This window comes from Homo sapiens, chromosome 17 (assembly GCF_000001405.40).
Source record: "Homo sapiens chromosome 17, GRCh38.p14 Primary Assembly".
In the NCBI taxonomy this organism is placed as follows: domain Eukaryota; kingdom Metazoa; phylum Chordata; class Mammalia; order Primates; family Hominidae; genus Homo; species Homo sapiens.
The window spans coordinates 73,403,112-73,425,107 of record NC_000017.11 but is presented as its reverse complement, the minus strand read 5'-3'; the positions used below and the strand labels follow the sequence as shown (position 1 = coordinate 73,425,107).

General features: G+C 47.7%; 1 protein-coding gene across 5 annotated transcripts in view; it reads left to right on the top strand.

The window, feature by feature from the left end:
- The window catches only part of SDK2 (sidekick cell adhesion molecule 2), a 310,062-nt gene that overhangs the window by 219,338 nt on the left and 68,728 nt on the right, over positions 1–21,996 (top strand). For all 5 annotated transcript variants that reach the window (XM_047436313.1, XM_011524914.3, XM_011524915.3 and 2 more), the window contains exons 13-18: positions 1,016–1,192; positions 1,586–1,722; positions 2,674–2,821; positions 5,802–5,942; positions 9,116–9,297; positions 10,349–10,464. In XM_047436313.1, the coding sequence (XP_047292269.1) occupies positions 1,016–1,192; positions 1,586–1,722; positions 2,674–2,821; positions 5,802–5,942; positions 9,116–9,297; positions 10,349–10,464 (901 nt within the window). The remainder of the gene's footprint in view (positions 1–1,015; positions 1,193–1,585; positions 1,723–2,673; positions 2,822–5,801; positions 5,943–9,115; positions 9,298–10,348; positions 10,465–21,996) is intronic.

Genomic DNA, 21,996 nt, shown 5'->3' with positions numbered 1-21,996 from the left:
GCTGGGATTACAGGCACTGGCCACCACGCCCGGCAAATTTCTGTATTTTTAGTAGAGACAGGGTTTTGCCATGTTGGCCAGACTGGTCTCAAACTCCTGACCTCAGGTGATACACCCACCTCGGCCTCCCAAAGTGCTGGGATTACCGGTGTGAGCCATGCACCCAGCCTGGTTCTGCTTTTGAAACTTAGGTTAAAAATATTACAGATTCACTCTCCCTAGTTATCTGACATTATGTAAACCCAGATAGTCCTGGGAGCCAGCAGCTCAGGCCCCCACCCTGTACCCCAGCTGAACGGGGCTATTTGCAAAGCATCTCAGCCACCACCGGGTTCCTCACACTTGTACTGAGAACCAAGGCCAACCTCGCCTGGGTTCATTGTGTGGCATCCTGCCCCCCAGGGCTGGCACTCCCTGTATGTTGATGACAATGATAATGGTTCTATTTCCTCAAGAACAAATTCAGAGAAGATATTTTTTATTGTCAAGCACTGATGCGTGTGTAATTTCTCAAGCCCCATTTGTATTGACTGACCGAAGCTAAAGGGATTTTTTTGGACACTATAGTCAATTTGTCACACTGATGCATTGATATAATGATTCCCCTCATAAAACTAATTCAGAAATGTGACTATGAGGAAACTTGCATTCCTTTTTTCAGCTGTAATCTTTCAGCCTCTTCAGAAGAATACCTTTCACTGGCTGTTTTGCAAGCGCTTCTGGCCAGAAGCAACAACGCTTTGACCCAACCTGAACTGAAGGTGTAACGACCAATAATGACTGAATGCGTTCGCTCTCCCACTCTCCTGCACCCTCCCCGCAGGAACGATGGGCTTCCAGACTGTTTGGCCTTCAACAGTGTCCCGCTCCCCGATCCCAGTGTCCTGCCTGGCTGTTGCCTGCAGTTGTCCTCTGCCCAGCTTTGGAGCTATTTTCTCGGGACAAGCTTCAGGCTAGGCCCACTCCCAAGGTACCTTCCTCTCCCTCTGTACTTACGGGTTCTTCTTACTTTTAGGTACATCTGGGAGAAGGACGGGGCCACCCTGGGCACGGAGAGCCATCCTCGTATCCGCCTGGACAGAAACGGCTCCCTGCACATCTCACAGACGTGGTCGGGAGACATCGGCACGTACACCTGCCGGGTGATCTCAGCAGGAGGCAACGACTCTCGCAGTGCCCACCTGCGAGTCAGGTAAGGGCAGCCCTCCCAGACCCCGGCAGAGGCGGTCCAGGCAATAGCAACTGGCATGCTCAGAGCCAGCCGAGTCCCTTTTTTCAGATCCCCAGGCCACGTGTGACCTGAACTGTTCAGCTTTGCTCAGGACATACCCCCAGCATCCTTCCAGGCCTTTCTCTCAGCTCAGTTAGGCCCTCCGTCAAGAGCAGGGGGGTGTGAGGATGGCTTTAGCAGGAGGGCTCTGGTTCCAGAGAGAAAAATCTCCAGGTAGATGGCCCGAAGGCCACATTTTACGTCTAAGCATGCGGTATCATGGAAGGTCAAGGCCTACACAACCTGTGTCCACAGCGCCCCCGTCACCTGCCTGCAGACCACATAGGGATGCCTGACCACGTGTCTCTTTTCCAGGCAACTGCCCCACGCGCCCGAGCACCCAGTGGCCACTCTCAGCACCGTGGAAAGGCGAGCCATCAACCTGACGTGGACCAAGCCCTTTGATGGCAACAGCCCCCTGATCCGCTACATTCTGGAGATGTCGGAGAACAGTAAGCTTCCCGTGGTCACCTCCAACACCTCCCGCCCAAGCTTGGACTTAGGAGTCAGCCCTGGGCTGGGGTCCCAGCTCTCCTGCTTCCTAGTTCTGGGCCTTTGAGCAGATCCTTCCCTCTGGCAGCCTCAGCGTTCCCATCTCTGAAGGAAACACAGGCATCTGCCTGTCAGGCCCTGTTACAGTTGAAAGAGATGACGCACAAAAGGTGCTTAACTCAGGGCCTGGCACAGCAGAAGCTGCAAAGAAAATGGCCAGTATTTATTTATTATTTATTTATTTATGTATTCCCCAAGTCAAATGAGCAGGCATAATTCGCATTGCATTTTATTTATTTATTATTTATTTATTTATTCATTTTTGAGACGGAGTTTCACACTTGTCACCCAGGCTGGAGTGCAATGGTGCCATCTCGGCTCACTGCAACCTCTGCCTCCCGGGTTCAGGTGATTCTCCTGTCTCAGCCTCCGAAGTAGTTGGGATTACAGGCATACATCACCATGCCCAGCTAATTTTGTATTTTTAGTAGAGATGGGATTTCACCATATTGGTCAGGCTGGTCTCAAACCCCTGACCTCAGGTGATCTGCCCGCCTCAGCCTCCCAAAGTGCTGGGATTACAGACATGAGCCACCACACCCAGCCTGAATGGCATTTTAAACACAGCTTGCCTAGAGCTCATCAATTTGTGGGGGGTAGTGGGGGAGACAAATGCATCTCAGTTCCCATAAGCCCTTACTTTCCTCCGGCACCCTCCACCGTCTCCTCCCCAGGGTCGTGTGAGCTAATGGGACCTAGAAAAATGGCATGGCGGGCCACTCCTGCACCAAGCTGGGGAGGCTCTCTCTTGCCAGCCCCAGTGAAGCTGGACCCTGCTGGGAGTGGGGAGTAAGAAGCATGCTTCATCCCACCCAAGATACCCACTTCTGCCCCACTCACTGTCCCTGCAGATGCCCCCTGGACTGTACTCCTGGCCAGTGTGGACCCCAAAGCTACCTCAGTGACAGTCAAGGGCCTGGTTCCTGCACGCTCCTACCAGTTCCGTCTTTGTGCCGTCAACGACGTGGGGAAAGGACAGTTCAGCAAAGACACCGAGAGGTGAGGGCACTGGCGCTCTACAGGGGCGTCGCCAGGACTCCAACAGGCAGGGGCTGCAGCCGAAACCGATGTGGCAGATTCTGGCTCAGCTCCTCCTGGCCCCCTCTAGGCTTCCGCCTCTGTAGAAGGGGAGAGCAATCCTGATGAGTGCCTCACCAGGATGTTGCAAAGGTTAAATGGGGTGCTCTGAGTAGGGCACTGGGGAACGCGGTGAGCACCAACCAAATGTAGTCATCCCAGTTACTGGGAGCTGTGCAAGCAAAAAGGCTCACCTCCTTCCACTCCACATCCGCATGGGCTGCTGTCATTGTTAAATGGATGCAAAATTCCAGAGATACAGGATCTACACAGATCTCCATATCCATGTCTTGCACGACGCCAGGCCCTGCTAGGGTTCCCGCAAAGCTTTTATAAAATGATGGAAATTGCTGGGCACGGTGGCTCACACCTGTAATCCCAGCACGTCAGGAGGCTGAGGCGGGCGGATCACCTGAGGTCAGGAGTTCGAAACCAGCCTGGCCAACATAGCAAAACCCAGTCTCTACTAAAATATGAAAATTAGCTGGGTGTGGTGGTGGGCGCCTGTAATCCCAGCTACTCGGGAGGCTGAGGCACAAGAATCCCTTGAATCAGGGAGGCAGAGGTTGCAGTGAGTCGAGATCCAGCCTGGATGACAGAGCAAGACTGTCTCAAAAAAAAAAAAAAAAAAAAAAGATGGAAATTGAATAAAAGCTGCAGATGCTTCATATAAAAACATCACACGGTGATACCCATCTATGTAGAAGGAGAATTCTATCCTCTCCAGCTCCGTAGAACAAGCAGCCACCTCTAGCAAGAAAGATGTCATGGGAGAGGTCAGAACAACCGTGATACAAATCACGTGCGCAAAGCCTTGCACTTGGCTCTTTGAAAGACGCCTGGGGCTTAAATCAATCATGGTGGTTTTGCCACAGTTGCAATGAGCTTGGGTCTCTCTGGCTTGTACTAAGGTAGCACCACTGGGGTCAAACAATCTCACGGGAGGGAGCAGTGGCAGGTGGCAGCCCGTGTGGAGAGCAGTTACAGGGGGATTTACATACTCACTGTTTACTGAGCAGCTACCGTGTGCCATGCCACGTTTGGACCACTGGAGGGAGGACAGGGAATGAACAGACATAGCCCCAGTGCATCTGGAGATACACAATCCCAACAACAGAGAGGCTGAAAGTGTAGGGGAAGCTACCCTGCAACTTCTCCTGCCCTGCGGCTGCACCGCATCACACTGACTCACCTTCCTAATGTACCTTCATGCAAACCGCCCTGAGTCACCAAGAAAAAGGCCAAATCCTCACGCTTGTAATCCCAGCACTTTGGGAGGCTGAGGGGGGCGGATCACTTGAGGTCAGGAGTTCGAGACCAGCCTGGCCAACATGGTGAAACCCCATCTCTACTAAAAATACAAAAATTAGCCAGGCATGGCGGCACGTGCCTGTAATCCCAGCTATTCAGGAGGCTGAGACAGGAGAATTGCTTGAACCCGGGAGACGGAGGTTGCAGTGAGGTGAAATCGTGCCACCGCACTCCAGCCTGGGGGACAAGAGTGAAATCTTTCCTCAAAAACAAAAAAGAAAAAGGCCAAATCACCCTTACCCCAGCCTCTACAAAAACACAGGAGCGGGCCAGGTGCAGTGGCTCATGCCTGTAATCCCAGCACTTTGGGAGGCAGAGGCAGGTGGATCACCTAAGGTCAGGAGTTCAAAACCAGCCTGGCCAACATGATGAAACCCCGTCTCTACTAAAAATATAAAAATTAGCCAGCCCTGGTGGCAGGCACCCATAATCCCGCTACTCTTGAGGCTGAGGCAGGAGAATTGCTTGAACCCGGGAGGCAGAGGTTGCAGTGAGGTGAGATCATGCCACTGCATTCCAGCCTGGGCGAAAGAGCAAAACTCTCTCAAATAAAACACGGGAGCGAGCAGCATGCTTAGGAAAGCTATCCATCAAAAAGCAAAAACATAAACAAAAAGGGAAAGTCATCCATCAAAAATAATTAACTTTTGTTTGGAGTGGACACGTGTCCGTGATGTGAAAAGTACACTTAGGCAGAACACAGCATCCCCCAGCAATGCCAGAGAAAGACGTGCTGTCGCGCTTGGCTCCCCGAGGCAGGGTGGGTGTCCTTGGCTCTCTCCCTCACACGCCATGCCCGCCCTGCTCCTGCCTGGGGCTCAGCTGGCCAGCAAAGGAGGCCTAGTTAAGGTACACCAGCAGCTGACCAGTGGGATGTGACCAACATTTCTGCTTATAGAACACTTGGACACTCATGACCTCATCAGCCCCAACAGCAGCTTCCTTGACAAATAGGAAACTGAAACTTACATCCCTCAACGGCACCAAAAACATGTACATTAATTTTTTTTTTTTTTTTGAGACAGGGTCTCTGTTTCCCAGGCTGTAGTTCCGTGATGCAAACACAGCTCACTGCAGCCTCAACCTCCTGGGCTCAAGCCATCCTCCCACCTCAGTCTCCCAGGTATTTGGGATTACAGGTGCAAGTCACCAGGAGGGAGTTTTTTTGGGTTTTTTTTGTTGTTTTTTTTGGTAGAGACAGGGTCTTGCCATGTTGCCCAGGCTGGTTTTGAACTCTGGCCCTCAAGCAATCCTCTTGCCTCAGCCTCCCAAAGTGCTGGGATTACAGGCATGAGCCACAGCATCTGGCCTTATAGTTTTTAAAAGACATATACATATATCCACATATACACAGAGACTATATATGTAGTATCATTTGAGCCTCAACTAGTCTCATAAGGCAGGCAAGTAGAGCTTTATTATAATTCTTTTATAGAACAAGCTCAGAGAAGTCAGGTAACTTGCCCAGATGCACACAGCAGTTGTACCGAATTATCCAGAGTCAGAGCAGGCCAGGGTTCAGCCTTCTCATATCCCATTCAACTCCTGTGTTTGACCCCAAGACTAAGAGCATTGGTGTTTTGTGATCCAGGGTCTCCCTCCCCGAGGAGCCCCCCACGGCCCCTCCACAGAACGTCATCGCCAGCGGTCGAACCAACCAGTCCATCATGATCCAGTGGCAGCCGCCTCCTGAGAGCCACCAGAATGGAATTCTCAAGGGTTACATCATCAGGTGGGTGTCCACCCTGGGGACAGGAGCCCAGTCCCAAGGGGAAAGGCATGGGGGAAGATCGGGAGTGGACTGGAAAACAGTGCAAATTCATGGCAGGCCCTTCGCCATCTAGGAAGGACTAGGTAACAAGAAATGCCTACTCAGTGGTAGGAAGGATTTAGGTTGGACACCTAGTAGAACTTCCAGTGGCAAGACCCCTGGACACCAGCGAGGAATGCGTGAGAGGGGAGGCTATATGGGCTGACATAGGAACAGGCCTACAAGGAGACAGGAGAAGAAATAAGTAACTTTCCAAGGGGCAACGCTCTGGGAAGCCGCGAATATTCCATCACAGGCCAGAATTCTCTTGACCCGTGAGTGGAGAAACCAGCTGGCCGAAGAATTGATGGAAAAGTGAAAGTTCTTTCTTTGGTTATTACTGGAAATGAAGCCCAGTTATACAGACCCTTATCTTTGCATTTGACTGAGGGACTACTCTTCTAGTAACCTAAATGGGAGTCATTAAGGGTCACTAAAATGTGGTATTCATAAGTTCAAATTCATAAGTTATCTGAGGTTACTGAGAACTCTCATTGATATTCTAGATTCTGGCTACAAAATGCTATGCAACTTCGTGTGTCTCATTCCTGCATGTACACACCCTCACAGGGGTTTAACTGCTCCACTATTGGTTAATTTTGTTGTGGGTTTTTCACTAATCCTGAAGGGCGGTGGTTCTCAAAGTGTGGTCCCAGCACCCATGGCATCAGCCTAACCTGAGAACTGGTCAGAAATGCAAATTATCAAGTCTCTCCAAGACCTACCAAACCAGAAACTTTAAGGATAGGCTTAGAAACCTTTGCTTTTAAAAAAATCTTTCAGGCCGGGCGTGGTGTTTCACGCCTGTAATCCCAGCAATTTGGGAGGCCAAGGCGGGTGGATCACGGGGTCAGGAGATTGAGACAATCCTGGCCAATATGGTGAAACCCCATCTTCACTAAAAATACAAAAATTACCTGGGCATGGTGGCACACACCCGTAGTCCCAGCTACTCAGGAGGCTGAGGCAGGAGAATCACTTGAACCCAGGAGGCAGAGGTTGCAGTGAGCCAAGATCGCACCACTGCACTCCAGCCTGGGCGAGACTCCATCTAAAAACAAAAAAAAAAAAAAAAAACTCATCTAGGAGACTTTGATGCATCTTCAGGTTTAGAGAAGCAGTGTTTTAGGGCATTGTAATGCATCAGAATACTTTGAGGTCCTTAATTTTCCAATAATTAGATGCTGAATTATATATGCATCGTGTTTCTCAAATGAATGACCCATCCTTTGTGTCTGACCCCCAAAATTTGCTTGTACACATTTACTTCTTTAGTGCTGTGAGTTCTTTTTGCCAGTGGAGGTAGAAATGGGTCGAGTAGGTAGCCCAGGTGTTTCATTCCACCTGGGCGAGTAACTTTCAGAAGAGGGAGCCTTGTATCCTAGAGGAGGAAAGAAAATGAGCCCAGGCTTCAGGGACAGCTCTCCAGTCCATGACCCCTCCAAGGCTGAGACCTGCAAGTTCTGCCCTGGGACCTCTCAGTGCCCCTGGTTAGCAATCCTCCCCCATCAAATAGAATAGTCCAGACACATCCCCTAGACCTCTGCTACCCAGTAAGGTAACCATTAGCTAGCTCTGGTTACTTAAATTACAGTTGACCCTTGAACAGTGTGGGGGCTAGGGGTGCTCACCCCCTCACGGTTGATAATCCATGTATAATTTATTTTCTTTTTTTTTTTTTTGAGACAGGGTCTCACTCCATTGCCCAGGCTGGAGTGCAGTGGCGTACTCTCAGCTCACTGCAACCTCCACCTCCTGGGCTCAAGTGATCCTCCTGCCTCAGACTCCCGAGTAGCTGGGACTACAGGCATGTGCCACCACATCCGGCTAATTTTTTTTTTTTTTTAGTAGAGACAAGATTTCATCTTTTTGGCCAGGCTGGTCTCGAACTCCTGACCTCAAGTGATCCACCTGCCTGGGCCTCCCAAAGCACTGGGATTATAGGTACGAGCCACCATGCCCGGCCCAATCCACATATAATTTTTGACTCCCCAAAAACTTAAATACTAATAGCCTACTGCTAGCCAGAAGCCACACCTATAACCAGTCGATTAACACGTATATTTTTATGCATTTATGATATAACTTTTTCTTAATTTTTTCAATGTTTCTAGGCCATGTGATTCATCTGCGAGTTTTTTCAAATTGTCACAAATCTCTAAAACTTTTTCTGATATGTTTATTTTTAAAACTCTGTGTAGCTGGGCATGGTGGCTCACGCCTATAATCCCAGCACTTTGGGAGGCTGAGGCAGGTGGATCACGAGGTCAGGAGTTCGAGACCAGCCTGGCCAGCATAGTGAAACCCCATCTCTACTAAAAATACAAAAAATAAGCCAGGCATGGGAGCGCATGCCTGTAGTCCCAGCTACTTGGGAGGCTGAGGCAGGAGAATTGCTTGAACCTGGCAGGTGGAGGTTGCAGTGAGCCAAGATCATGCCATAGCACTCCAGCCTGGGTGAAAGAGCGAGACTCCATCTAAAAAAATAAAATAAAATAATAGTTCTGTGTGTACGCCAACCTGTACAGTTCCAACCTGTGTTGTTCAAGGGTCAACTATAAGCAAAACTAAAACAAATTCTAATTCAGGCCAGGTATAGTGGCTCATGCTATAATCCCAGCACTTTGGGAGGCTGAAGTGAGGTAGGCAGATCACCTGAGGTCAGGAGTTCGAGACCATCCTGGCCAACATGGTGAAACCCTGTCTCTACTAAAAATACAAAAATTAGCCAGTGTGGTGGCACATGCCTGTAATCCCAGCTACTCAGGGAGGCTGAGGCAGGAGAATCACTTGAATCTGGGAGGCAGAGGTTGCAGTGAGCCGAGATTGCGCCACTGCGCTCCAGCCTGGGTGACAGAACAAGACTCCGTCTCAAAAAAAAAAAAAAATTGAATTCATTTCTTCGGTTGCACTAACCACATTTCAAGTGCTCAGCAGCTGCATGTGCTGGCGGGCACCCTGTCGGACAGCACAGGTGCAGAGCACTTCCGCCACCACCGGAAGTCCTATTGGACAGCGCTGCTCTGGACAATTTCCTGGGTACGAGGCCAAGGAAGCTGACTCTGACTCCACTGTGCCTCGCCTCTTCCCCTCAGGTACTGCCTGGCCGGGCTGCCCGTGGGGTACCAGTTTAAGAACATCACGGATGCTGATGTGAACAACCTGCTGCTGGAGGATCTCATCATTTGGACCAACTACGAGATCGAGGTGGCTGCTTACAACAGCGCTGGGCTGGGGGTCTACAGCAGTAAAGTCACCGAGTGGACGCTGCAGGGAGGTAGGTAGAGACTGTGGTCTCAGACCAGGCGCGGTGGCTCATGCGTGTAATCCTAGCACTTTGGGACGCCAAGACGGGAGGATTGCTCAAGCCCAGGAGTTTTAAGCCAGCCTGGGCAACATAGGGAGACTCCATCTCTACAAAAAGTGAAAAAAATTATCTGGGTGTGGTGGCATGCTACATGCTACAGTGGCACAGCTACTCAGGAGGCTATGGCAGGTGGATCGCTTGGGCCCAGGAGTTTGAGGCTAACCTAGGCAACATAGTGAGACCCTGTCTCTACAAAAAATGAACAGAACTAGCTTGGTGTGGTGGTACATGCCTGTGGTCCCAGCTACTCGGGAGGTCCCCAAGGCTGGAGCCTGGGGAAGTTAAGGCTGCAATGAGCTGAGATCGTGCCACTGCACTTCAGCCTAGGTGACAAAGTGAGACTCTGTCTCAAAAAAAAAAAAAAAAAAAAGTGAAATGAAATGAAAAGAGACTATGGCCTCAGAGGAGCAGGTGCTTCCCCTTCTCCCAGTCCCATGCCTGTTGGGTTCTGTGCCTGTCCAGGCCCGAGAGCCTTGGCTGTGTGGCCTGTTCTCACCAGGCCCCTACTATTGCACCCTGGGGCTGGAATCACCACCCCAGGCCAATCTACCCCACAGGGTGGGAGGACTGAGGGGAAGAGGAAGAGGAGGCTGGCTTGGACATGGTGAAGGGCAGAGGCTCCAGGCATATGGGGACCTTCTGTGAATTTCATGTTAAGTAGATCATGAAACAGCTTACTTTTAGCATTCCACCTGAAAACCATGCCAGAGCATTTTTCATCCGCACCCCTCTTATTTACCAGTACCCTGTGAGGTGGGTCAGGCAAGTTTTATTAAACGCAAACTAATCCAGAGAGAATATGAAGGCCTCTTAAGTCTACACAGCGAGGGAGGAGTTGGGGTGGGGTAGGGGGGTGCAAGGCAGAGGCTATAGCCCCCACCCCTGCGTTTTCTCTACTGAACTGGGCAAGAGAGACTGACTGGGCCCCCTCCACCCCACCCCGTTCTCTCATCTCCTCTAGTTCCCACGGTCCCTCCGGGCAATGTGCACGCGGAAGCCACCAATTCCACGACCATCCGCTTCACCTGGAACGCCCCCAGCCCCCAGTTCATCAACGGCATCAACCAGGGCTACAAGGTACATGAGGCATCTCCTCACCCAAGAGGAGGCCCTAAGATCTTCTGGAGGGGGTGGGGAGAGGGGACAGAGTGGGCAGGAGGAAATCCCCCCTCTGTTTCTGAAGTCATTGGCTCGAGTCAAGCTAGGGACACACATTAGAGGAAAAGAGTTCCAGGCCTTCCCCAAGGCTACATGTGGGCCACAGGAAGTGCAGACACTGCCCTGACTGACACTCAGTGCTACGGTCCTTCCCAGCGAGACTGGGTTATACACAAAACCCAGGTTATTTCAGGCTCAGAAACACCTGGTGTAGGGGCCGGGCACAGTGGCTCACATCTGTAATCCCCAATTTGGGAGGCTGAGGCGGGCAGCTCACCTGAGGTCAGAAGTTCAAGACCAGCCTGGCCAACATGGTGAAACTCCGTCTCTACTAAAAATACAAAAATTAGCTGGGCTTGGTGGCAGGGGCGCCTGTAATCCCAGCTACTCGGGAGGCTGAGGCAGGAGAATCACTTGAACCTGGGAGGCGGAGGTTGCAGTGAGCCGAGATTGCAGCCATTGCACTACACCCTGGGCCACAGAATGAAACTCTGTCCCAAAAAAAAAAAAAGAAGAGAGAGAGAAAAAGAAGAAAAAGAAACACCTGGTATAGCCATGGCCCCATGAGAAAAATCCACCATTCACTTCTTACCGTGGCTCTTGTGGGCTTCATGCTCAAACGTATCCCCAGGCTGTACTCGACTCCACGTAGTGTGTGGTTAATGGCACAGGATTAGGACTCAGACAGACTTGGTGGTTAAAGTCCCAGCTTTGCCTCTTGCTGGCAACCTGCGCATGTTCTTTAATATGTCTCAGCTTCTGTCCTTCAATCAATATTTATTGAGCAGCTACTCTATGCACTGCTCGCACCGCTGAATAACTAAAATAAACTCAGTTTTCTCATTTGCAAATGAAGATGATAATACCTGCTTCTTGGAGTTGTGTGAGGATTAAGTGAGATAATATTTCTAATTTGTTCAGCACAATGACAAACACATGATAACCACTTGGAAAGTGATTTTAGTGGTCGTAGAAATGCATTTGGGCTGCTATAACCAAGTACCACAGACTGGATTGCTTAAAGCAACAGTCCCCAAACTTTTTGGCACCAGGGACCAGTTTCATGGAAGACAATTTTTCCATGGATTGGGGTGGGAGGAGGGATGGTTTCGGGATGATTCAAGCACATGACATTATTGTGCACTTTATTTCTGTTACTATCACATTGTAGTATATAATGAAATAACTATACAACTCACCACAATGTAGAATCCATGGGAGCCCTGAGCTTGTTTTCCTGCAACTAGATGGTCCGATCTGGGGGTGATGGGAGACAGTGACAGATCATCAGGCATTAGATTCTCATAAGGAGTACGCAACCTAGATCCCTCACATCCACAGTTCACAGCAGGGTTCACGCTCCTGTGAGAATCGAATGCTGCCACTGATGGGAGGTGGAGTTTAGGTGGTAATGTGAGCACTGGGGAGCAGCTGTAAGTACAGATGAAGCTTCACTTTCTTGCCTGCCGCTCACCTCCTGCTGTGCAGCCTGGTTCCTAACAGACCACAGACTGGTACCTGGTGGTCCGTGGGGGATTGGGGAACCCTGGCTTAAACAACAGAAATTTATTTTTGCACAGTTCTGGGGATTAGAAGTACGGGATTACTGTGTGGGCAGGGTTGGTTTCCTCTGAGGCCTCTCTCCTTGACTTCTAGGTGTCTGTCTTCACTCTGTGTCTGTGTCCAAAGAGATCTTGGCTCACTGCAACCTCCACCTCCCATGTTCAAGCAATTCTCTTGCCTCAGCCTCCCGAGTAGCTGGGACTGTAGGCATGTGCCACCATGTCTGGCTAATTTTTTTGTATTTTCAATAGAGATGGGGTTTCACCATGTTGGCCAGGCTGGTCTCAGACTCCCAACCTCAAGTAATTCGACTGCCTCGGCCTCCCAGAGTGCTGGGATTACTGGCATGAGCCACCGCGCCTGGCCTAAATGTCCTCTTCTTATAGGGACCTCAGTCACATTGGATTAGGGCCCACACTAATGACCTCATTTAACTACCTCTTTAACAATTCTGTCTCCAAATACAGTCACATTCTGGGGTGCTAGGGGTTAGAATTTAAACATACAGATTTTGCAGACACAACTCAGCCCATAACAGATAATAATAGTAATAATAGCAGTAGACCAGGCATGGTGGCTCATGCCTGTAATCCTTGTACTTTGGGAGTCTGAGGTGGGTGGATTACCTGAGGTTGGGAGTTCAAGACCAGCCTGGCCAACATGGTGAAATCCCATCTCTACTAAAAATATATATATATACACACATATATATATACACACACACACATATATATATGTATATGTATATGTTCCAGGATATATGTATATATGTATATGTGTATATGCATATACATATATGTATATGTGTGTATGTGCATATACATATATGTGTATATACATATATACGTATATATACATATACACATACACATATATACGTATACATATATACGTATACATATATACGTATATATACATATACATATATACGTATATATACATATACGTATATACATATATATACGTATATATACATATACGTATATCTACATATATATGTGTGTATATATATACGTAGATATATATATACGTATATATATATATACACAAACACACAAAAATTAACTGGGCATGGTGGCGCATGCCTGTAGTCCCAGCTACTCGGGAGACTGAGGCAGGGGAATTGCTTGAACCTGGAAGGCGGAAGTTGCAGTGAGCTGAGATTCTGCCACTACACTCCAGCGAGACTCTGACCAAAAAAAAAAAAAAAATAGCAGTAATAATAGTAGTAGTAGTACATTTGCTCTCCTTCCAACTGAGCTAAAGGTCAGGACTTCTCAGTCCTCCCATCCTGGAACACAGACCTCAGAGCCCAGGCCCGGTTCTCTCGTGTCATTCCATGTGGGCCCCGTGCCTGTCCTCCCCACGGAGGACTAAAGACAGAGCACAGCATGGGGGATCCACACTATGTTTTAAAGGGGTAGGACCTGCCCCCAGCAACGTGGGGCAGACGGAAGGATGCCGTCCACTCCCTCCAGATGTGGGAGGGGAGGCAGAGCATTTGAGGGGAGGCCAGCTGTGAAGCGGAGAGCACTGCAGGCCCTGAGCTTCAGTCCAGGGAACGCATGACCTCGAGGTGACCACTGACACATCCCGAAGGTTCCTGCACCCCTCTGCACTGTGCTTGCCACAACTAAGATTAATTCTAGGACTCGCTGCCTTAGCGGTTCTTCCTCCAAAGTGGGGGAGGCTGGACAAGAAGGGACTGGGATGAAATAATGAAGAGGAGTTTCTGCTAGTGTTGCAAGCAAACAAAGGAGGGATGGTCCAGAACTGGAAATGACCCAGCTTCACTCCGGCCTTGGCCCTCTCAATCCCAGGAAGGCAGTGAACCCAAGGTCGAGCAGAGCTTTGCAGGGCAGGGAGCAGCAGCTGAATTCTTGGAGCACTCGCTGCCGGAAAACTCTCCTAATTGGGACCCTGGGGGGAGGCAGAGGAAGGAAGGGGAGGCCGGCATTGCTGAAGAGCAGAGGAGCTGAACTGGGAACAATTAGCTTCTTGCTACCAATTCTAAGCACAAGTTTTATTCTACATATGGGAGGGCTGAGCTACAAACTTTTAAGGCAAACAGCTCCCCCGAGGGCCAGGAAGGCCAGCCCATGGCCAGGACAATTAGGGCAGTGGCCCATGGTGACCCAGAGCAAGAGGAGGTGGCAGAGGCCACTGAATTCCCAGGTCCAGTCAGTGCCCAGCCCCCAGTAGCTACTCGATAAAGGTCAGCAGGAGTGAATTGCCCAGACGTTTTGAGCACAGAAACTGGTGGAGGAGTAAGGAGACCTCACACTTACAGGGCCCTTTCTCTGGGCCAGGCAGTACACTAAATGCTTCGCTCACATTTATCTTTCATGCAAGCAGCACAGGGACTCTAAGAAGCAGCATTATCGGCCGGGGGTGGTGGCTCATGCCTGGAATCCTAGCACTTTGGGAGGTCGAGGCAGGAGATCACTTGAGGTCGAGAGTTTGAAAACAGCCTGGCCAATATGGTGAAACCTTGTCTCTACTGAAAATACAAAAATTAGCCAGGTGTGGTGACACACATCTCTAATCCCAGCTACAGACATAGGAGGCCGAGGCAGGAGAATCGCTTGAACCCAGGAGGCGGACATTGCAGTGAGCTGAGATCACGCCACTTCGCTCCAGTCAGGGAGACAGAGCTAGACTCTGTCTCAAAACAAACAAACAAACAAAAACAAAAAGGAATATTACCATCACACCATTTTACAGAGAAAGAAACTGAGGCACCAGAGGGAAGTTACTTGTTCAAGGTCAAACACAGTGTCAAGGTCATGCAAAGCTCAGATTCAAACCAGAGCCTTCACTTTTCCTTACATTAAAAAGAAATGTCAGGCTGGGCACCGTGGCTCACGCCTGGAATCGCAACACTTTGGGAGGCCAAGACAGGGGGATCTCTTGAGCCCAGGAGTTTGAGACCAGCCTGGGCAATATGGCAAGACTCCATCTTTACACACACAAAAAAGTTAGTCAGGTGTGGTGTTGAGTGCCTGTGATCACAGCTACTCAGGAGGCTAAGACAGGGAGGATTGTTTGAGACCACGATTCAAGGCTACAGTGAGCTGAAATCACGTCACTGCACTCCAGCCCGAGTGACAGAGTGAGACCCTGTGTCAAAAAAAGAAAGAGAGAGACAGAGACAGACAGACAGACACAGAGAGAGAGAGAGAATGTATTATTTTTAATTGTAGATAACATTTTCAATACCAATGAATAAAAGCAGCAGAGATTTTTTTCCTCTGCTTCTTTAGCCTTCAGCATATCACAAGGAGAAAAAAGCAGTGTTTGTCCCTTGTATACCTCCAATAAGAATGAGCATTTTTCCCCTTTTGTGTTTTTTTTTTCTTCCTTTTTTTTGAGATGGAGTTTTGCTCTTATTGCCCGGGCTAGAATGCAATGGCGCAATCTCAGCTCACCGCAACCTCTGCCTCCCGGGTTCAAGCGATTCTTGTGCCTCAGCCTCCCAAGTAGCTGGGATTACAGGGGCATGTGCCACCATGCTCAGCTAATTTTTTTTTTTTAAGACAGAGTCTTGCTCGGTCACCCAGGTTGGATCTCGGCTCACTGCAACCTCCGCCTCCTGGGCTCAAGTGATTCTCCTACCTCAGCCTCCCGAGTAGCTGGAACTACAGGCATATGCCACCATGCCCGGCTCATTTTTGTATTTTTAGTAGACATGGGGTTTCACCACATTGACCAGGCTGGCCTCAAACTCCTGACCTCAAATGATCCACCCACCTTGGCCTCCCAAAGTGCTGGCATTATAGGCGTGAGCCACCACACCCGGCTGCCCCCTTTTAATTGTGAAAATTTTCAAACATCCACCCAAGTAGAGGAAAGACTGCAGTGAACACCTGTATCCCCATTCCCAGCTTTAACAATGCCCAACTCCCAGCCAGGTATGTTCCATCTCTGCCCCAACCCTCTGCCTTTCCCTTGGAACATTTTGAAGCAAATTCCAGGCATTGTATCAGTTCATCCATGAATGTTTCTGGAAAGAAACAGTATAGATGAGATCTCTATTTAAAATAAAACCACAGTAACTGCATTATCATTATGATAGCTAAAAATATCAGCAGGCCCTGTAATATCATCAGATATCCAGTCAGCCTTCAAATTCTCTTGATTGCCGCATAATCTGTTACTCGTGGTTTTATTTGCTTCAGGATCTAAATGAAGTTCACACAATTGCAGTCAGTTGAGGGGTTTTTTTTAGGTCTCAGTCGATCTATAGATTCTTTCTCTCTCTCTCTTTCTCTCTCCCTTTCTCTTTCTTGTAATTTATTTGGGAAGAAACTTAGTCATTTGTCCAACAGAATTTTCCACAGTCTGGATTTCGCTGATTGCATCCCTGTGGGGTCATTCAATGCATTCCTCCAAACAATATAGTTACAATGAATTGTAACTTAAAGCTAGAGGCTAATCTGATTCAGGTTTGATTTTTTGTTATTTGAAATATTTTACTTCGGGGTGTGATGGCTCACGCCTGTAATCCCAACACTTTGGGAGGCCAAGGCAGGTGGATCACGAGGTCAGGAGATCGAGACCATCCTGGCTAACACGGTGAAACCCCGTCTCTACTAAAAATATTAAAAAAAAAAAAATAGCCAGGCGCAGTGGCAGGCACCTGTAGTCCCAGCTACTCGGGAGGCTGAGGCAGGAGAAAGGCGTGAACCCGGGAGGCAGAGGTTGCCGTGAGCTGAGATCGCACCACTGCACTCCAGCCTGGGTGACAGAGCGAGACTCCATCTCAAAAAAAAAAAAAAAAATTAGCCAGGTGTAGTGGTACATGCCTCTAATCTCAGCTACTCGGGAGGCTGAGGCAGAAGAATTGCTTGAATTCTTGAGGCAGGGGTTGCAGTGAGCAGAGATCACACCATTGTACTCCAGTCTAGGCGACAGAGCCAGACTCTGTCTCAAAAGAAAAAAAAAAAAAAAAAGGAAATATTTTACTTCCTAGATGGTGTTATGTATTTTGATCAGAAAGCACAAAGTCCGGCTGTCTCTCTTACTGTGAAGTCAACCACTGACAGTCATCTATGAGCTATCATTTCAATAAGGGTTATAATATGGGGATAGGCAAATATTATCATTTCTTCTTGACTTAGTAGCTGAAATGCTTTCAAAAACAAGAATTTTCCCTTTATCAACTTTTTGGTTACCTGAAGTTTCAGTTTATCTAGGAAAAGCAGGGTAAGCATTTAATTATTTTTCCTTACTTACCAAATTTTTCGTATAATGAATTGGTTCTGGCCGGGCATGGTGTATCACACCTGTAATCCCAACACTTTGGGAGGATGAGGCAGAGGCTTGCTTGAGGCCAGGAGTTCAAGACCAGCCTAGGCAATATAGTGAGACTCCCCCGCCCCCGCTATCTCTATTTCTAAAAAACAGAAAAAATAAAGACTAAATTGATTCCTTATTGTCTTATCAGGTAACAGATGAGCTTGGGTTGGAGGGGGACGTCTTTCTGTTTTGTTTTGGGTTTGGTAGTATTATTAGATAACCAAGGATTTTTTTTGTTTTGTTTTTTGTTTTACAAATCTGACATGTTTCAATCCATTACCATTATTATGCTTCTTAAATGGTACTGGGTGCTGCCAGTTCAGTGGTACAAATGGACCCATCATTGGCCTCTTCGACTTGATGGTGAGCCCTCTTGACGTGGCCCCAGTAGTCTCTGATAGCTTCCTTGCAATTTGGTATGACAAGATGTTCCAGACTATTATATATACATTCCCCTCACTGTGCCAGGCATCGGCCATTTCTTTAAGGGGCTCTTGTTGCTTTCAGTGAGAAATGATAGTTAGATACCACAGTTTTAGCACTTGCATTGCATTTATTCCAGAAATGGTTGTTGTTTCTAGGCCCTGTTAATGGCTAGCTAAACAATATTTTTTAAGATACTATAGATACTCACACTTTCAATTCCATTTCATGATGACAGACTCTTTAATAATCTCATTGGTCTTTTGTCCATACTGAAAATCCAGTTCCTACAATACCAGCATTTTACCCACCTACGTTATTCCCACAAACACACACAACAGTTTCAGAATAGTCATATCCACACTATGATTACTGAACGTAGTTTCCAATTATTGCCATTCTTCTTGTTCCTGAGGTATATCCCTCTAGGGATGGACTTCGCACTGCATTGCTAAGTCTTTTGAAGTCATTTCTCTCTGTAATTTTACCACAGCTCAATACTCTATTAGTTCATTTGCTTCATTGTGGTTTTGATTTTTAGGGATTGATTTTTTAATTTAATTTTATTCTATAATTACGTTGAATATTTACATAATAAAGTCAAATCCACAAAGCAAATTCAGAGAAAATCAGCTTCAATCCTTGTCCTCTCACTCCCCTATAGGTCTGATTGCTTTCTGTTTTCTTGGTTTGGTTTTTTCTTCCATTTTTTTAATATAAACAAGTACAGGCCAGGCGCGGTGGCTCACGCCTGTAATTCCAACACTTTGGAAGGCCGAGGCGGGCAGATCATTTGAGATCAGGAGTTCAAGACCACCATGGCCAACATAGTGAAATCCCATCTCCATTAAAAATACAAAAAAAAAAATTAGCTGGGCGTGATGGCAGGTGCCTATAATCCCAGCTATTCAGGAGGCTGAGGCAAGAGAATCGTTTGAACTGGGGAGGCAGAGATTGCAGTGAGCGGAGATCTCGCCACTGCACCCTAGCCTAGGCAACAGAGCGAGACTCCATCTCAAAAAAAAAAAAAAAGAGTGTAGTAGGCCCTTCTTAGCCATGGATTCCACATCTGTGGATTCAGCCAATCTCATAAGGTTCTGAAAATATTCAGACAAAAATGCATCTATATTAAACATGCACAGAGTTTTTTGTCATTATTCCCCCAAACAATACAGTATAACAACTATTTACATAGCATTTATATTGTGTTATGTATTACAATAATCTAAAGGTGATTTAAGATATATAAGAGGAGGGGCCGGGCACGGTGGCTCATGCCTGTAATCCCAGCACTTTGGGAGGCCAAGGCAGGCGGATCACGAGGTCAGGAAATCGAGACCATCCTGGCTAACACAGTGAAACCCCGTTTCTACTAAAAATGCAAAAAAAAAATTAGCCGGGCGTGGTGGCAGGCGCCTGTAGTCCCAGCAACTCGGGAGGCTGAGGCAGGAGAATGGCGTGAACCCGAGAGGCGGAGCTTGCAGTGAGCGGAGATCGCGCCACTGCACTCCAGCCTGGGCGACAGAGCGAGACTCTGTCTCAAAAAAAAAAAAAAGATATATAAGAGGAGGTGTGTAGGTTACATGCAAATACTACACCTTTTTATATCAGGTACTTGAGCAGCTGTGGCTTTTGGTATCTGCGGGCGGTCCTGGAACCAATCCCACATGAATACCAATGATTTGCTGTACATGCATACATAAATGTGTATGCTCTCCTTCTCAGATAAGTGACAATGTACTTTCCACATTCTCGATCTTTATATATATATATATATATATATATATATATATATATATATATATATATATGGTTTTTTGTTTGTTTTTTTTTTTTTTTGAGAAGGAGTTTTGTTCTTTTGCCCAGGCTGGAGTGCAGTGTCGCAATCTTGGCTCGCTGCAACCTCTGCCTTCCAGTTTCAAGCAATTCTCCTGCCTCGGCCTCCAGAGTAGCTGGGATTACAGGCGCCAGCCACCATGTGCGGCTAATTTTTGTATTTTTAGTAGAGACGGGGTTTCACATGTTAGCCAAGCTGGTCTCGAACTCCTGACCTCGTGATTCACCCACATTGGCCTCCCCAATTGCTGGGATTACAGGCGTAAGCCACCATGCCCAGCCTAACTTTTATTTTCTAACTTTAGTAGCTAGATGCCATATACATCATCCTACACCTTCAACCCTGTAGAGTACTGCCTCCACCAGGGACAGGAGACATTTCACCTGCTCCTCCCTGAAACCCAGCAAGGCAGCTGTTTCTATCCCCTAGAATAGCCTGAGGCTCAGAGTGGTCAAGTGACTTTCCGTGAGTCCCACAGTAAGTGACAGAGCTGGGTTCAGGTTCAAGTGTGCCAGCTGCAAGGCTGCCCTCCCCCAACACCCTCCATCAGCAGCACTGCTGCTCAGTTACAAGGCTTGCCTCCCTGGGCCTCTGCTCTCTAAGGGGGAATTTCATATCCCAGGAACTCAGGTCTAATGCTCGTTCCCCAGAACACACCCGAGCCTTCTCAGGGGAGCCCCGTCTACTTAGAACCTGAGACTAAGGACCTAGTATGGTAAATCAACACTGAAACTGACTAACAAGGAGAAGGCACAGAGATGTCCTAAAGAACACTCATCTCAGCAGCTCTGTGTACCTTTGAGAGACAGAGGTCATCATGAAAGGTCTCAGGGTCCACAAACTGAGCCAGCTCTTAGTAGGTCCATGTGCAAGCTCCTTAACCTTCCTGAACCTCAGTTTCCTTTTCTGTAATAGCATAGGACAATGATTTCCATCTGCTCCTCATCGTGATGATTAAATAAGGCCAGGCACACGGTAAGAGTTCAACAGGTGGAAGCCCTGTTGTGTGTTGAGCTGAGCACTGAAGTTCCATCCCACGGCTGCCCAGAGCCCAATCCCTTTAGGGCAATGAAGGACACAAAAGGCAATTTTACTGTCTCTCTCCCTGGACCTGAGGCAGGGAGGCCTCCTATCCCCAAGCCTCCTCCTCTCCACGTGCAACTGGAGAAGGACAAGTGGCTCACATCCCAGAGTAAATATTTTGAAACAGCCACAGGAACCCATGACCCTGCTGCCATCTTGGATCCAGGCGTCAAGCTGTAGGATAATGAAGTCAAGAGCGTGACTCCACAAACCACACTGCCATTACCCTGTGCACTTCCTCTGGGTCATTTTTGTGGGTAAGGCCCAGTGATATTGTTTTAAGGCACATGTAAAGACACCCTTTTTCCTTTATTTAAAAAAAATGGTAGAGCTTATAATTGGCCTAAGCCCAGGAAGATAATATTTACCCAGATTTTATACTTGCTGGGGAACACACCACACAATTAATTCTAACAGCATAATTAATTTGAATGTACATTAATTAAATTAAATTAAAACATTAAACTTGTTTCTTAATCTACTCCAAAGAAGTTCGGCAACATAATTGCTATGAAACAAGATAATCGAAATACGGAGGATATTTAACACACTTATTAAATGCCACTTAGTATTTCTGTTTAGTATTTTGAGGGTCTAATTAGTGTCTAATTAACTTGCTATAGGCTATCTTTTCACAATACCAATTAAATTTCAAAACATCCTTTATAAATACACAGCCATGAAAAGGAGAAGATTAAGCATTGTTATAGGCATGAGTTAACCGGGAGACATTGGCGTGGTATTGTTTTATATCTATAAATACCCGTGCTTATTAAAACTCATCAAGTGTTGCTTTTCACCATTAATTGCTATTTAATCAACTTCAAATAAATGAGGAAATCTCTGAAACCAGCTGTCATTATTGGAGACAGATGAAGGGCCTAGAAACAGGAGCGTGAGGTGAGAGCAGGAGGCGAGACAGGCGGGAGGGGGCGGGGGCCAGGTGTGATCTGCAGAGGGGAGATGAGCAAGAACTTGAGGGATTTCCAGATGGGACTTTCTTGCCGATGCCCCGCCTCTACTTGATATTTAAGATGGAAATCCCAACTTAGAAGGAGTGTAAGAGGATAATAGTTACCCACAAACTGAAGTTCCCAGCTCTGTAGGAAGTAACCCTTGGAGAGCTCCAAAGACGAAGCTGCCCCAGCTCACATGGGGCAAGATGTAGGAGCTCAGGGCTTGGAATCCCAGAACCAGCTTCCCCCTACCTGTGTGAGCCTCTTTGAGCCTCAGTTTCCTCATCTGTA